The sequence below is a fragment of the Homo sapiens genome, chromosome 4, assembly GCF_000001405.40.
Source record: "Homo sapiens chromosome 4, GRCh38.p14 Primary Assembly".
NCBI lineage: Eukaryota > Metazoa > Chordata > Mammalia > Primates > Hominidae > Homo > Homo sapiens.
Window position 1 is genome coordinate 4,911,354 of NC_000004.12, and position 17,756 is coordinate 4,929,109.

Genomic DNA, 17,756 nt, shown 5'->3' on the forward strand with positions numbered 1-17,756 from the left:
CCAGGACCCAACCATGCCCACACCCGGATCTCAGCCTGCCAGCCCCCAGAATCGTGAAAAATGAATGTCTGCTGCTTATAGGTCAGCTCTAAGGTAGCTTGCTTAGCAGCCTGAACAGACTAAAGTGGATAGAGATCTACATTTGTTTGAGCACACGCTAGGCACCATCTTCCCATGGCATATTCCATATTGATTTCTTTGTTGCCCTGTCTATTTATCATCTAACAACCCATCGCCAACTTCATCCTCAGATAAACCAAAGTGACTTGTCATGTTCAAAATCCAATTTGGTTAAAAACAAAGCTGAGAGAAAAAAAACAGGTCAAAGAGGCAATGAGGGTGAGGAAAAACAAAGGCAAGCCAGGGTGAAATTGGTGTGTGAAATTTTGACAAAGAGGTCAGGAGACTTGGTAGAGCTGGGTCATAGATTTTGTGCTGACCTCTCTAGCAGCCAATGCTGAGAGCCATGTGATCAGGCACGTGATTGTGTCTGCAAGGTAGCACTAAATGGGTTGCTCAGAAGCCCATATGGTGCTAAGAGTAGCAAGATTATTTCTGGTACTAAAGCTGAGCCTGGTTGGGCACAGTAGTTCATGCCTATAATCTCAACACTTTGGGAGACTGAAGTAGGAGGATTGCATAAGCCTAGGAATTTGAGACCAGCCTGGGCAACATAGTGAGACCCCATCTCTACACACACACACACACACACACAAACACACACACACACACACACACACACACACACACACACACAATAGCTGGGCATGGTGATGCTTACCTGTGGTCCTAGCTGCTTGGGAGGCTAAGGTGAGAGGATCACTTGAGTCAGTCAGGTCAAGGCTGCAGTGAGCTAAGATTGTGCCACTGCTCTCTAGCCTGGGTGACAGTGAGACCTGTCTCAAAATAAGTAAATAGGTAAATGAAATACAGCTGAACCTTCTCCCACAAGTCTTCATGGATGACACATGGGAGGATGACACTGTGTGAAGCAGTGAGCAACGTCCTCAACAATGCCTGCCCAGTAACCACAGTGGGTGGTTTCTTAAAGCAGCTCAGTTGAGGCCCAGATAGAACAAAAAAGTGGAGGAAGAATGAATTTGCACTCTCTTCTACGTCCATCTTCTCCTGCCCTTGGACATTGGACCTCTTTGTTCTCTGGCCTTTGGACTCCAAAACTTACAGGAAGTTACACCATCAGCTTCCTGGTAGTATAAGTTCCGGAGCCAATTCCCCTAATAAGCCCTCTCTTATAGCTTTCTATATATCCTAACAATTCTGTTTCTGCTGTTCTTAGCACTGAATTTATCACACCAGAATGAAACATCATAACCTCTTTTTTAAGGGGGATTAGGTGGGATAAAATGTAGACTAGTTAGGAGAATGGGTAGACTCTAACTTCTCCATCAGTACTTTGTTTTCTTCTCAACTGAGCTTCTAACCCTGCTGCATGGTGGTCCCTGTAGTTCTATTTTTTGTTGCCAGTGAGGTGTTCACCTGTCCATTTGTACAGCCATCCACACCAATCTGCATTAACACTCTCTCCAACCCTGTGAATTAAGCCTTACTGTCTCCATTTTCAGTGGGGCCAAGAGGACTGAGTGACTTGCCCAAATTACCCAAGTAGTAAGTAGCAAACTTGGGTTCCAAACCCCCATCAGCCTGATTCCAAAGCTTGGATCTTTCCCTGCACCATACCAGTTGGATTCTTGTCCTCCAGGTGGCAGACCCAGGGAAAGTAAGAACTGAATGGTTTTACTAATCTTACAAAATGGCAGCCAAGCCATGTCCATTCAGATATCAACTTCCTCACTCTCCAGTAGTCCCCAGGAACCCATGGAACAGCCTGTTCTTTTGACTGGATGGCAACCAGGAGGAATTTCTGTGTTTTCTAACCAGGCCTCACCCTTCTCACACTTGCCTTTGTTTGCTGCTCTCTAGTTTCTCAAACACAACCCCCCTGATTGACTGTGGGTGGCTGCCAAACACATCTGGCCCAAAGGAAGTCCAGAATAGCAGTCAGTCATCCAGGTGTTGGGTAGACCTAGCCAATGGGTCATCTGCGGTCAACAGTGCCACCCCCTGATTGGCCTGGGTCTGGCCCTCCCCCCTCTTCTTTGGAGCCTTCCTTCTGAGGACAGGCCCTGGGGAAGGGGGAGGGAAAGGGACTGGGCCAAACATTTGGAAACGCTTGCCTTTCAAAGAGTCAGCCAAAAAAAGAGAGATTTAAACATTTCTTCTACCACACAATTGAGGAAAGCTTAGCTTGAAATTTCATAATTTTTATGCTTCATTAAGATAAAGTGTCATAGATAATGTGCAGAACTTTGGTTTGTCTGCAGAGGTAGAACCCACCATGGACCCCTAGCATGGGGAAGCTGCTGGGAACCCTGGAGGCTCCAGAGCAAACTCCTCTTATGTAGATGTGGAAATAGCCCAGAGAGGGAAAGGGACTTGTTACACTACAGGGTGGCCATGCTGGGATTTGACTCTGGGGATCAGGAAAACCAGTGCTGTTCTTTCCCTACTCCTGCCTCTCAGCCTCTCCAGCCTGTCCATCAAATGGAAGGGGTCTCCAGGCTGGGTGGTGCAGACTGAGCAGGAGGAGGGGCACAGAGTACCAAGGCCTTGTTCAGGAATGGGCAGTCACACTGTCTGAAGATCACTGGCCATGCATTTCCAGAAAATGCCATTGTTTTACAAATCCTACTGTTTAAGTTCAGGAATGGGCAGTCACACTGTCTGAAGATCACTGGCCATGCATTTCCAGAAAATGCCGTTGTTTTACAAATCCTACTGTTGTTTAAGTTCAGGCTCCAGGCAAGCCAGTTTGCTGAGCACCCTTGGCTAGGTGCTTGTGGGATTATCATGACTGACCCTGTCTGTTGGCTCTCTAAGGTTGCAGATGAGTAATCCAAGGCAGAGGGAGATGATGCAACCCAACAATGAGAGAAAAGCCAGGATTTGTACCCAGATGATTCATTCCTTCCTCTGGGCACCTGCAAGAGTTTTCAACAACAAAAAATAACATTGTATGTAGCCAAGGTTTTGTAGGAAGCAGAATCCCACCCAAAAGGGCCCATAGAGGCAAAATTTAATGAAGGAACCATTTACAGAACTGTGGGCAGGGTTAAGGAAGCTGGCAAGGGATGTAGAGGCTCTCGGTGCTGGTAACGCAGGAAGTCATCACCTCCTTTGGGTCTGAAGAGATGAGGGAGGAAGTAGTGGTATTGGCAGCCAGTAAGAACTATGGCAGGGACCAGGGGTTGCCCTGCTGCCAGCCGCTTCTGGGATTTGTCTGGCCCCTGAAATGGTTTAAGTTTACAACTTGGTCATCAGAAAGCAAATCCCCTCCCTCTCTCCTTCTCTCCCACCACCCCCAACACCTGTCAGTGTCCTCACTGGCTGACCCCACCTGGAAGGCAGGGTGCAGGGGACCCTGAGTGCTGCAGCCTATGGATTAGATCCCAAGGATACACCTGCTTTGAACCATATGGCATTTTCTACAAAAAACAGGCTTCATTGCCAACACTTAGAAGTTGGAGCCATCACATAAAATTCTGTATTTCTGGCTTCTTTTGAGGAAGAGAGAAGATTTGTTATCACTGGAACTGTGTTCCGTTTGGCAGAGGGAGGCTGAAGTTGAACCACTGCCCTGATTAGGGCTGCTGTGTTTGCCAGCCCCACTCCCTGTCCTCTCAAACCCTACCCCTTTTTGTCCATTGATGACTCCCGCCTGGGACCCAGAGTTGGTCATGTGCTTGGAGGGAAGGTAGAAAAGCAGGGCCAGGGAGGAGGAGTGACTCCGCCAGGGTCACCAGCACCAGGACTGGCACTCAGGTCCTCTCTCCTGCAGCCCCAGTTGAATGTTCTTTCAAGGCGTATGTTGCTGTCTTGTGGGGGCTTTGCCTACTGCTGTGATTCCCCCCAGTCCCAACTGGATCTGGGACTCTTCAGCCTGTGCCATGGGGGCACAGACCCCTGCAGAGCCCACCCTTTTCTGAGTTCATGTCAGAGGATTGGGTTTCATTTCAGGGTCAGCATCTCCCAGGCGTGCAGCTGGAGGAGGAAGCCACCAGCATACGGGCAGATCTGCAGGTGGCTGGGCTCCAGGTTTAACAATGATCCCTCCCATTTATCCTGGTGTTTCATACCTCACAGTACCCTCACAGCCAGTGTCCTGTGAGCTCTGGGATGGCCCCGCCAGATGAAGGAGGAGGGCTCCAAAGGGGGCTGCTGGGTCGGGGGGCAGGTGGCAGCGCTGGGGCTGAGCTGGGATTTGACTCCCTATGTAGGTCGTCTTGTCAGGAGCTCACTGCAGCAGTCTCCCTGGAACTGGGTCCAACTTGTTGTGAGGAGGGGTCACCAATTTAGCTTTGGATTTTTCTAGATTGGCTGCATGGTAGTCCCAGGTCAGGTCACTGAATGACAGGGCACAGGAGTCTACACCCAGACTCTTAGAGAAGCTGGGCTCACACTTTGGTGCCCTCTAATGCCACCACCCCTGCCCATCTATGGCCTACATTCTCAACTGAGGCAGCAATAATCCCAGCTCCAATCTGGACTCTGCTTCCTGGAGTGGCAGGGTCTGTCCTGCTCTGGCAGCACCTGCCCCTGCAACTTCATTCAGGGATCTCCTTCCTGCATTTCTTGTCCAAGGCTTGGACTCACTCCTGTCAGCTCCAAAAACCCATGTCTTCCTCATTTCCAAGGTGGAACAGGGGCTAAAATCTTTTAAGCCCACTCCCACAGAGTGAGGGCAGAAGAAGAGTGCTCATTCCATATCACAGGTTGTGGAGTCCCTGGAGAGTCAGATCTGCCCTCAGCCACTATGTAAAACCCACCTCCTGCACAGTTCCATTTGTCTTCAAAGCCTTTGTCATCATTTGCCACATGATACGTTAACTTGCTTGGTTTTCATTGTGTCTCCCTGTTCTCATGATAGTGAGTGAGTTCTCATGAGATCTGGGAAAAGCCACTCCCATGATTCAGTCTTCTCTACCTAGTCCTGCCCTTGACACATGAGGATTATTTAATTCAAGGTGAGATTTGAGTGGGGACACAGAGCCAAACCATATCATTCCACCCCGGCCCCTACCAAATCTCATGTCCTCGCATTTCAAAACACAATCATGTCCTTCCAACAGTCCCCCAAAGTCTTAACTCATTCCAGCAATAACCCAAAAGTGCAAGTCCAAAGTCTCATCTGAGACAAGTCCCCTCCACCTATGAGCCTGTAAAATCAAAAGCAAGTTGGTTACTTCCTAGGTACAATGGGGGTACAGGCTTTGGGTAAATACACCCATTCCAAATTGGAGAAATTGGCCAAAACAAAGGGGCTACAGGCCCCATGCAAGTGTGAACTCCAATAGGGCAATCATTAAACCTTAAATTTCCAAAATTATCTCCTTTGATTCCAGGTCTTACATCTAGGTCATGCTGATGCAAAAGGTGGGTTCCCATGGCCTTGGGCAGTTCTGCCCCTGTGGCTTTGCAGGGTACAGCCCTCCTTTCTGGCTGTTTTCACAAGCTGGCGCTGAGTGCCTATGGCTTTTCCAGGCACATGGTGAAAACTGTCAGTGAATCTACCATTCTGGGGTCTGGAGGATGGTGGTCCTCTTCTCACAGCTCCACTAGGCAGTGCCTTAGCAGGGACTCTGTGTGGAGGCTCCAACCCCACATTTCCCTTCCACACTACCCTAGCAGAGGTTCTCCATGACAGCCCCACTTCTGCAGCAGACTTCTGTCTGGACATGGAGGCATTTCCCTACATCCTCTGAAATCTAGGCGGAGGTTCTCAAACTTCAATTCTTGACTTCTGTGCACCTGCAGGCTCAACACCACATAGAAGCTGCCAAGGCTTGGGGCTTTCGCCCTCTGCAGCCATGTCCTGAGCTGTACCTTGGCCTCTTTTCACCATGGCTGGAGCTGCAGAGAGGCAGGGCACCAAGTCCCTAGGCTAAAGCATAACAAGAGTCACCTTTGCACCTAAGAAGTTCCCAATAAGTTCCTCATCTCCATCTGAGACCACCTCAGCTTGGACTTTATTGTCCATATCACTATCAGCATTTTGGTCAAAGCCATTCAACAAGTCTGTAGGATGTTTCAAACTTTCCCTCATCTTCCTGTCTTCTTCTGAGCTCTCCAAACTGTTCCAACCTCTGCCTGTTACCCAGTTCCAAAGTCACTTCCACATTTTCAGGTATCTTTATAGCAGCATCCCACTCCTGGTACCAATATACTGTATTAGTCCATTCTCATGCTGCCATAAAGAACTGCCCAAAACTGAGTAGTTTATAAAGAAAAGAGGTTTAATTGACTCGCAGTTCCGCATGGCTTGGGAGGCCTCAGGAAACTTATAATCATGGTGGAAGGTACCTCTTTACAGCACAGCAGGAGACAGAATGAGTGCCAAGCAAAGGGGGAAGCCCCTTATAAAACCATCAGATCTTGTGAGAGCTCACTCATTATCATGAGAACAGCATGGGCAAATTTGCTTCCACGGTTCAATTATCTCCATCTGGTCCCGCCTTTGACATGTGGGGATTATTACAATTCAAGGTGAGATTTGGGTGGGAACACAGAGCCAAACCATATCACTTCCCCTCTACATGATGTAAACTTTACAGGGGTGGGGACTGAACCTGTTAAGGTTCAGTGCTGTATCTTTTGTGCATGGAACAGTGTCTGGCATATCATAGGTGCTCCAAAGTATTTGTTAAATAAATAAATGCCCAAATATTGTTTGCCTCCTGTGGGGTGGGTGTCTGCCCCTCATCTCTCCCGTCTTTACCTGTCCCCACAGGTGCTGCCCCCACTCTGAGCTGTCAGCCCCACCCCCTGGCCACTCCAAACTAAACTATGATGCTGCTACCCCCATTGATTCTGGGGGATGCTACCTTGTATAACCCCTGACGTCATGCTCCCTGCTGGACTGGGCTAACATATGCCACAAAACCTAGATTAGTTAATAATGCAAGAAACACTTGCCCTGGGACCCCAGGGGGTAAGGCTTTGCCTTCTAAGTTTACAATCTAGGGGTTAGAGGGCAGAAAAACAAACAACAAACATGGCACCAGACATTGGGTGTGGCCTGGGGAGGACAACAATGTCACATCCTTCAAGGGCGGGATCTTGGTGAGTTGTTGGGTGTCTTCAGTTGCAGATGTCAGAAGCCAAATGTAACCAGCTTAAGTCCAGGAGGAACGTCTATTGGCTCAAGTCCTCAAAGATGGAAAAGGAGCCTGGACGTTGCAGAAAAGCCAGCTCAGCCGGAAACAGAGTGACATTTTCTCCACAAGAGTACCTGCTTCTGTTTGCACACTATGGCTTAGTTTTCTTCTGCTACAGTTAACTGGGGAGACATGCCCCTGGAGCGACATCTGACTCAAGAGGAAAGGGTCTTCTGTCTCCTGCTCCCCCCTGGAAAATCCTCTGGAAGGATGAGGTTGACTCCCCTGGGGTACGAGCTCCCCCTTGGGCCCAAGACTGTGGTCTAAGAGATGAGGCACCAGGCAGCCAGGAGGTCTCACACGCACCTCTGTGAGCAGAGAGACGGGGGCTGCTACCAGACAAGGAGGAAGAGGGCAGGGATTGCACAAAGGGCTCTCTCTAGGCACTCCCTGGGATCTGGGTCTGCAGCCATATCACACCTCCCTCTCCTTGGCCCACCTAGTTGGGCTTCTTCCTGCCTGGTGGCCCATGCTGCAGAAGACCTTCATGCCTTGCTGCTGAAACTGTACACGGTATCGCCCTGTGCCTAAGGCTACTGAGCTTCCACCCTGTCCCAGAGTCTAGATGCCCTCTGTCCTTACCTGCCCAACAGAATGGTCGCTGCTGCCTACCCACCAGCCTCTGCATATGCCCTCCCCACACCCCCGCCCCCACCCCCACAAAAGCAAACTCCTATTACCCTGTAACAGTCAGTGCAAGTGCCAGCTTCACCATTCTGAGCTATTCTTGGGGTCTCAATGCCCCAGGACCTCCTCAGGCTTCCTTAGGCCTCTGAGCCCAGCAGGCTGCAGAGCCAGGGACTGAGGGCTGGGCCATGATAGGTCCATGCCCTGGAGCGCGGATCTGCAGAGTGGCTCTTTTTGGCTGAGCAGGGGCCATCTTGGTTTAGTGCCTGGACTGGGATTATTTTCCTCTTTTCTCCCCTGGTGCATCTCTCCCTGCCTCCCTGTGCAGACGGGAACCCCGGGAAAGGCAACTGGAGCCCCACTTTAAGTGATGTGCAAAACATCCCAGGGGCCAGCAGGCTAGTGCAGTAAAGGAGAGGCTGTCGGGTGTGTGGGGGTAGGGAGGTGGGGGCTAGGTTCCCTTTACCTGGTTACCTTGGAGCCCATCTTACTAAAGAGGATGGCTTCATTAGCTAGGCCCTGGTGTCCCAGAGTTCTGGGTAAACAAATTATCTTGAGGATCCAACTTCCTGGGTGGCTTTGCCTGACTTCACTTCCTTGGAAGCAACCTTGAGTTCCTGGATACAGTTGTGCCTGCCACTTGCCACTCAGAGCTGTCCAGAGAGGACACACCAAGCACACCCAGAGTGGGAAGCTCTTGGAGGGCAGAAAGGCCCAGTGGTCAAAGTAAGCAGATGCAATAGAACAGGCTGAGGGAGCCCAGCAACAATAGCACCAAGAACCCACTGCAGGCCAGGCATCCAGAGAGCACGCTCTGTGCCCACATGCAGCTCACAGTCCAGTGGCTGGCTTGGCTGTGGGACGCCAGTGACTCACTCGGTACTGTTCAGTCCATGTGAATCATGGCGCCGCTGGTTGCCCAGGCCAGGCCCCCGGCCAACCTCTGCACAGCTGGGTAACATTAAGAACTTGGCGACGCCCGCAGCATGCAGCAGATCCTCTGGGCCCTCCTCTTGCTGTTGTTGTTGTCAGATGTTGATGAGAGTTTGGGAAGCAAGTAAGGAGCGTGTTCATTCTGGGCTGGGTCAAAACTGGGCCGGGCTGAAGGGCAGGGTGGGCCTGAGGTGACAGCCTGCAGGGCATCTGGCCCCTCTTTAGCTCAGTTGTCAGCTCTGAGCCGTGGCATCCTGGGTGCATTCATGATCTTCCCCATGCCCCAGGGTCCCCATCTATTAAAGGGGACATTGGGGGACCCTGGGAGGACTGGGTGAGAGTGTATATAGAGAATACCCAGAACAGTGCTGGTACATACCAGCTGCCCCACACACCTTGGCCATCCTGGGTGCCTCAGTCTCTCCTGTGTCCCTTTCTTCTCCCCCACCCTTCCCCGTCTGCCACCCCATTCACACATTCACACCAGCTACAGTTGGCGGGCATCCACGTTCTCTTGAGGGTCCACCTGCTTTTTCCCATCCTCTTTGTCTCCTCCCTCACCAAGCTTTTCTTAATATTTTAAGCTCTAGAGCCCTAGAATGTTCCAATTTCTAGCACTCTAGAACATTCTATGCCCCAACAAGCATGTGCCTCTTTGTCTTTGCTCACTAGATTCCCTCAGCCTTCAACACCTTGAGAGCTTGTTTGGAGGCCCTAGCAGGGGTGCAAAGCTACTCATATACCCTTGGCTGAAGACCAGTCCTCCTCTATCGGGGATTGTCGTGAGTGCAGCTTTGGGAAGGACGCATATGGAGTGGTGAGGGAGGAAGGGGACACCTGCCTAGCCAGCCAGATCAGCCGAATCAACTTTGGCGATCAATGGGGTGACAGATGTCACAGCCAGATCACCCTCACATCCCCCTAGCCTTGAACACCTTTCCCCATCTTCTTCACCTGGCACTTTTTCTTGTGGCAGGAGATGGCAGGATGAGATTGTGGTCTTCCATCCACACAGGTAAGTGACAGTCCTCAGCTCAACTCACCTCCTCTGTGTAACCTTCCTAACCTCACCTCCCCACCCAGGTGGACTCAGCTGTGTCTTCCTCTGTGCCCCATGGAGAGGTGGACATCTGCACCCCACAGTGGCCCACCCCATTGCTCTGTGCTCACTTCCAATTTCCTCCCACTTAGGAGCTCCTGCACAGCAGACAGCCACTGGGGCAAGCTTGTGGGGGCATCCTCCCACACTTTTTGTAAAACTAAATGAAGGACTAACAGGAGGTGCGGAAAACGCTGGCTTGGCAATTAGGAGAGCAAAGCTTCCATGTTCTCCCACACCCCCAATCTTTGTCCCAGACCTTGTCAGGCCTTGCTTTCTATTTGAGGACCCCAGGACTCTGAGAAGACCCAAAGCCAACCTGCTCAGTTGCCGGCTGAAAACCTCAAACTATCAAGAACATTGAACATGGTCTCCTTGGGTGCATTCAGGAGCTTTATGAATGCTCCAATTACCCTGTAGTCACGTGGTAGGAGAGAGAGATGGAATTGGGAAGAGACCTGAGAAATTGTTTTTTTTTTTTGAGATGGAGTTTTGCTCTTGTTGCCCAGGCTAGAGTGCAATGGTGGGATTTTAGCTCACTGCAGCCTCAGTGTTCTGGGTTCAGGTGATTATCCTGCCTCAGCCTCCCAGATAGCTGTGAATACAGGCATGCACCACCATGTATTTTTAGTAGAGACGGGATTTCATCATGTTGCCCAGGCTGGTCTCGAACTCCTGACCTCAGGTGATACACCCACCTTGGCCTCCCAAGTGCTGGGATTACAGGTGTGAGCCACAATGACCAGAAAGACCTGAGAAGTTACCGTCATATTTCAGTTAATGAAATCCTTTGACAGCTTTCCGCTTTGAGTCCCCTATTGCAAGTACATCTGCAGGGAGGTGTGGAAGTGAGGCAAGCAGGGGATGTGGGGAGAGGTGGTGATATACCCAGATCCTTACAATCATCTAAGATTATTCAGGATTTATTTTTTTTAAAGTTATTCAAAGATACATCAAAGATTAGATTCCTGGAAATGGGGAGAGAGTTCAGTCTCTGGAAGGTTAACACTGTGCAGCTGATTTGTCCAAGTCCGACCGATTTTTCTCCCTGAAAGACTGCTGGGCCTTGGGACCCTGTAATTAGACTGCTGGGAGCCCCAGCCCTCTTCCTTCTATTTCCTTCTCTCCATTGCCTCCCGAATGTCCCAGCCTCCTCCTGGCTAGTAGATGCTGATGGCCCTGGGTGACCATCCAAGTGGCTCCAAGCCTTGGATTTCTCTCCTAGGAAATAGAGAATAATTTTTTTCTATCATGCTCATAGGGAGGATGAGGGCTGTGGAGACAAAGCGGGCTCAAACATGAGAAATAACAAATTTCCTATCAAATGTAAAATGGTGAAGAGGAAAAGGAAGTGGGCAGAGAGCTGGGGCTTGTGGTTCTGAGCCATGGCTTCCTCTAGTTCATGAAGGGATGGACCTTGTTTGAGTCACTCACCATCTCTGGACCCTGGTTTTCCTGATGTATGAATAAGTGTCTTGGACCTGCTCATTTGGGGGATGCGGCCAGCTTCCAACTTCCAGACCCTGCATACCCCATTTCCTGACTTAGCAGTCCTTGAGGAGAGGTTCCCATCAGGTTTGGTGAAAGTTTCTTTCCAAAGGATACTGCCATGGAATGCTGGGTCAGGATCTACTCAGAGGCTGTGGCTCCCTCCATCTCTGAGACCATGCTAGCAGACTGGGGCTCTCACATTTTAAAGCATGTTATGGAGTCTGACCTGGCCTGGATTTCCCAGCAGTGGGATTATGTCCTTCTGACTTGGCCATCTGAAGTAGGACCCCAGGCAAGAGGACACCTTCTCAGAAACTATTCATGTTTATGAAAGTCATTCATCACTGTTGAGGGAGTGAGGCTCCCTGTTCATGGCAGAATTTCCTCCAGGATTGGTTTCTCCAGCAGTGAGCTGTCTTGCCAATACCACATAGAAAGCTTGGGGGTTGAGGGTGCTAGTGTCTTGGGCCAATCATGATGTAGATGCAGACATTAGCTCCAGTTCCTTCCTGCTTTTGCCACCTCCTAGCCGTGTAGCCTCAGAGAAGTCACTTGACATTCCAAGGTCTCTGTGTCCCCATAGGCAGAATGGCAGGAAAGAAATTCCCCTGCCCATCTCATAGGGTGCTGTGAGGCTCAGAGGAAACAGTGGGTGGGAAGGGGCTTTATGATCTGTGAGGCATTATTGAGTCATGTGCTGGGGTGATTCTTGCTTGTCATGGTTACTTATCAATGATGATGACAGTACCCTGCTGTGACAAGTCCTCCAGTCAAGTCATGTTGCTGAGGACAGGAATGGTTGAAGTGGGGCAGACTTTCCCATGTGGCAGAATGGGAGGAGCACAGGAGTGGGAGTCAGACCTGGCTTCCAGCTCCACCACCCATCACTGCCACAATTGGGGTGGATCCTAAAATCTGATATGGTTTGGCTCTGTGTCTCCACCCAAATCTTATCTCAAATTGTAATCCCCACTTGTCGAGGGAGGGGGGTGATTGGATCATGGGGGCAGTTTCTCCCATGCTGTTCTCCTGATAGTGAGTGAGTTCTCACAGGATCTGATGGTTTTATAAGCGTTTGGAAGTTCCCCCTTTGCTCTTCTCTCTACTGCTGCCTTGTGAAGAAGGTGCCTGCTTCCCCTTTGCCTTCCGCCATGATTGTAAGTTTCCTGTGGCCTCCCCAGCCATATGGAACTGTGAGTCAATTAAACCTCTTTCCTTTATAAATTATCCAGTCTCGAGCAGTTCTTTATAGCAGTGTGAAAACAGACTACTACACCCCCAAACCTGGCTACCCCATCCATCAAAGAGGGACAATAATAGTGTTGCCCAATAATTAGATTGCATTCACCCAAAGCAGACCCCAATACATAGATTTGATTGAAGTAATTTATTTGGTGATGACCCAGAAGTCAGGGGTCAGGAAAGAGAAGTGAGGCAGAAAGGGAGGTAAATTCATTCTAGTGGGAAGATGGGCAGGTCTTCACCAAGGGCAACCGGGCTTGATCCCCCAGGAGCCTCTTCAGGGGTACATGGAGCACACCTCAGAGCTGCCCCACTGTGGGGTGAGGAACCTGGGTGTTTATCCATTATCTATGGGTTGCTCTTAGGGTGTTAGTGCCTCAGAACCCCCCCCCCCACACACCAGGTGTGTGGACCAAGCACACCCCTGTGACCAGAGAACACCCTCAGCCACAGAGATGCAGGAAGCCAAGGCTATGTTTGGGAACTCTAGGGTAGGCAGAGGGGCATGGGCCAAGAGCTGATGGCACCTGCTGTGCCAACTCGGTTGCTGTGAGGGTGATGCTTAGAACAGTGCCTGGCATGTGACCAGCTCCAGAGAACTCACTTATTATTATTATTAGCTATGGCCCAACTTCCTCCATTCCAAGTGAACCCAGAGTTTTTTTCAGCATCAACCTTTCTCCTCGTAGCCATGGGCTTCAAGGGAGGCTGACTCCAGCCCAGCTCCAGGGCTGGGGTCTTGGTTGGTGTCAGTCAGTCATGGCCCCCATCCATAGTGCCTTCTCTAAAATTTTCCTCAGGAGAGGAACTAGAGCACAGGTTTACCTCCAGGATAAGCTCACCTTCTCACACGGTCAATATCCGTGTGTCTCCTTCTTTAAGAGAATAAAAGACTAGGTTGGGGAAGTTCTCCTGGATAATATACTGAAGAGTGTTTTCCAACTTGGTTCCATTCTCCCAGCCACTTTCAGGTACACCAATAAAATGTAGGTTTGGTATTTTCATATAGTCCCATGTTTCTTGGAGGCTTTGTTCATTCCTTTTCATTCTTTTTTCTCTAATCTTGTCTCCATACTTAATTTCATTAAGTTGATCTTCAATATCTGATATCCTTTCTTCCACTTAATCAATTCAGCTATTGATACCTGTGAATTCTTCACAAAGTTCTCATGCTGTTTTTCGGCTCCATCAGGTCATTTATGTTCTTCTCTAAACTGCTTATTCTAGTTAGCAATTCCGCTAACCTTTTTTCAAGGTTCTTGGCTTTCTTGCATTGGGTTAAAACATGCTCCTTTAGCTCAGAGGAGCTTGTTATTGTCCACCTTCTGAAGCCTACTTCTGTCAATTCATCAAACTCATTCTCCATCCAGTTTTGTTCCCTTGCTTGCAAGGAGTTGTAATCCTTTGGAGAAGAAGAAGTGTCTGGTTTTCGGAATTTTCAGCCTTTTTATGCAGGTTTTTCATCATCTTCATGGGTTTATCTACCTTTGGTCTTTGATGTTGGTGACCTTCGAATGGGGTTTTCATGCAGACATCCTTTTTGTTGATGTTGATGCTATTCCTTTCTGTTTGTTAGTTTTCCCTCTAACAGTCAGGCCTCTCTGCTGCAAATCTGCTGAAGTTTGCTGGAGGTCCACTCTAGACCCTGTTTGCCTGGGTATCACCAGTGGAGGCTGTAGAGCAGCAAAGATTGCTGCCTGTTCCTTCCTCTGGAAGCTTCATCCAGAAGGGCACCTGCCAGATGCCATCTGGAGCTCTCCAAGATACTCCTCGAGAAGAGCAACCCCAAGACAGATAATCATTAGATTCACCAAGGTTGAAATGAAGAAAAAAGTGTTAAGGGCAGCCAGAGAGAAAGGTCAAGTTATCCACAAAGGGAAGCCCATACACTAACAGCAGATCTCTCTGCAGAAACCTTACAAGCCAGAAGAGAGTGAGCTTGAATATTCAACATTCTTAAAGAAAACAATTTTCAACCTAGAGTTTCATATCCAGCCAAACTAAGCTTCATAAATGAAACAGAAATAAAATCCTTTACAGACAAGCAAATGCTGAAGAATTTTGTCACCATCAGGCCTGCCTTAAAGAAGCTCCTGAAGGAAGCACTAAATATGGAAAGGAAAAACTGGTACCAGCCACTGCAAAAACATACCAAATTGTAAAGACCATCGACACTATGAAGAAACTCCATCAACTAATGGGAAAAATAACCAACTAACATCATAATGACAGGATCAAATTCACACATAACAATATTAACATTTGCTGGGGATAGGCCCCCAAATCTGGCCATAAACTGGCCCCAAAACTGGCCATAAACAAAATCTCTGCAGCACTGTGACATGTTCATGATGGCCATCATGCCCATGCTGAAGGTTGTGGGTTTACCAGAATGACAGCAAGGAACAACTGGCCCACCCAGGGTGGAAAACTGCTCAAAGGCATTCCTAAGCCACAAACAACAGCGTGAGTGGTCTGTGCCTTAAGGACATGGTCCTGCTGCAGATAACTAGCCAGAGCCCATTCCTTTATTTCGGCCTATCTGTTTGTTTCCCGTAAGGAATATTTTTAGTTAATCTATGATCTATAGAAACAATGCTTATCACTGGCTTGCTGTCAACTAATATGTGGGTAAATCTCTGTTCAGGGCTCTCAGTTGTGAAGGCTGTCAGTCCCCTGATTTCCCACTCCACACACTATATTTCTGTGTGTGTGTCTTTAATTCCTCTAGTGCCACTGGGTTAGGTTCTCCATGACTGAGCTGGTCTCGACAACTTTAAATGTAAACAGGCTAAATGTCCCAATTAAGAGATACAAACTGGCAAATTGGATAAAGAGTCAAGACCCATTGGTGTGCTGTATTCAGGAGACCCATCTCACATGCAGAGACATATATAGGCTCAAAATAAAGGGATGCAGGAATATTTACCAAGCAAATGGAAAGAAAAAAAAACAGAGCTTGCAATTCTAGTCTCTGATAAAATAGACTTTATACCAACAAAGATCAAAAAAGACAAAGAAGGGCATTACATAATGGTAAAGGGATCAATGCAACAAGAAGAGCTAACTTTCCTAAATACATATGCACCCAATATAGGAGCACCCAGATTCATAAAGCAAATTCTTAGAGACCTGCAAAGAGACTTAGACTCCCACACAATAATAGTGGGAGACTTTAACACCCCACTTTCAATATTAGATAAATCAATGAGACAGAAAATTAACAAGGATATTCAGGACTTTAACTCAACTCTGGACCAAGCAGACCTGGTAGACATCTACAGAACTCTCCACCCCAAATCAACAGCATATACATTCTTCTCAGCACCACATTGCACTTATTCTAAAATTGACCATGTAATTGGGAGTAAAACACTCCTCAGCAAATGCAGAAGCATGGAAATCATAACAAACAGTCTCTCAGACCACAGTGCAATCAAATAAGAACTCAGAATTAAGAAACTCACTCAAAACCGCACAACTATATGGAAACTGAACAACCTGCTCCTGAATGACTACTGGGTAAATAACAAAATTAAGGCAGAAATCAGGAAGTTCTTTGAAACCAATGAGAACAAAGATACAACATACCAGAATCTCTGGGACACAGCTAAACCAGTGTTTAGAGGGAAATTTATAGCTCTAAATGCCCACAGAAGAAAGCAGGAAATACCTAAAATTGACACCCTAGCATCACAATTAAAAGAACCAGAGAAGCAAGGGCAAACAAATTTAAAAGCTACTAGAAGATAAGAAATAACTAAGATCAGAGCAGAACTGGAGGAGATAGAGACACAAAAAACCTTCAAAAAATCAATGAATCCAGGAGCTGGTTTTTTAAAAAAATTAACAAAATAGATAGATTGCTAGCAAGACTAATAAAGAAGAAAAGAGAGAAGAATCAAATAGACACAGTAAAAAAATGATAAAGGGGGTATCACCACTGATCCCACAGAAATACAAACCACCATCAGAGAATACTGTAAACACCTTTATGCAAATAAACTAGAAAATCTAGAAGAAATGGATAAATTTCTGGACACATACACCCTCCCAGGACTAAACCAGGAAGAAGTGGAATCCCTAAATAGACCAATAACAAGTTCTGAAATTGAGGCAGTAATTAATAGATTACCAACCAAAAAAAGCCCAGGACCAGACGGATTCACAGCCAAATTCTCCCAGACGTACAAAGAGGAGCTGGTACCATTTCTTCTGAAACTATGCCAAACAATCAAAGAAGAGGGACTCCTCCATAACTCATTTTATGAGGCCAGCTTCATCCTGATACCAAAACCTGGCAGAGACACAACAAAAAAAGAAAACTTCAGGCCAATATCCCTGATGAACATCATTGCAAAAATCCTCAATAAAATACTGGCAAACCGAATCCAGCAGCAAGTCAAAAAGCTTATCCACCATGATCAAGTCAGCTTCATCCCTGGGATGCAAGGCTGGTTCAACGTACACAAATCAATAAATGTAATCCATCAGATAAACAGAACCAATGACAAAAACCACATGATTATCTCAATAGATGCAGAAAAGGCCTTTGATAAAATACAACATCCCTTCATGTTAAAAACTCTCAATAAACTAGATATTGATGGAATGTATCTCAAAATAATAAGAGCTATTTTGACAAACCTACAGCCAGTATCATTCTGAATAGGCAAAAGCTGGAAGCATTCCCTTTGAAAACCAGCACAAGACAAGGATGCCCTCTCCCACCACTGCTATTCGACATAGTATTGGAAGTTCTGGCCAGGGCAATTAGGCAAGAGAAAGAAATAAATGGTACTCAAATAGGAAAAGAGGAAGTCAAATTGTCTCTGGTTACAGATGACATGATTATATATTTAGAAAACCCCATCGTCTCAGCCTAAAAACTTCCTAAGCTGATAAGCAATTTCAGCAAAGTCACAGGATACAAAACCAACGTGCAAAAATCACAAGCATTCCTATATGCCAATAATAGACAAACAGAGAGCCAAATCATGAGTGAACTCCCATTCACAATTGCTACAAAGAGAATAAAATACCTAGGAATACAACTTACAAGGTACGTGAAGGACCTCTTCAAGGAGAACTACAAACCACTGCTCAAGGAAATAAGAGAGGACACAAACAAA

At 47.7% G+C, this 17,756-nt stretch overlaps 2 long non-coding RNA genes and 1 pseudogene across 2 annotated transcripts in view; 1 reads left to right on the forward strand and 2 right to left on the reverse strand.

Moving 5' to 3' along the window:
• Positions 9,455–17,756, forward strand: part of LOC101928306 (uncharacterized) — a 67,864-nt gene continuing 59,562 nt past the window's right edge. The window contains exon 1 of the long non-coding RNA NR_125893.1: positions 9,455–9,807. This is a non-coding gene — a long non-coding RNA (uncharacterized LOC101928306). The remainder of the gene's footprint in view (positions 9,808–17,756) is intronic.
• On the reverse strand, positions 9,475–9,711 carry RN7SKP113 (RN7SK pseudogene 113; annotated as a pseudogene).
• On the reverse strand, positions 10,799–12,020 carry LOC107986218 (uncharacterized). The gene is made up of 2 exons (XR_001741497.2): positions 11,326–12,020; positions 10,799–11,112 (listed from the first exon to the last, which is right to left on the reverse strand). It is a non-coding gene; the product is annotated as an uncharacterized LOC107986218 (long non-coding RNA).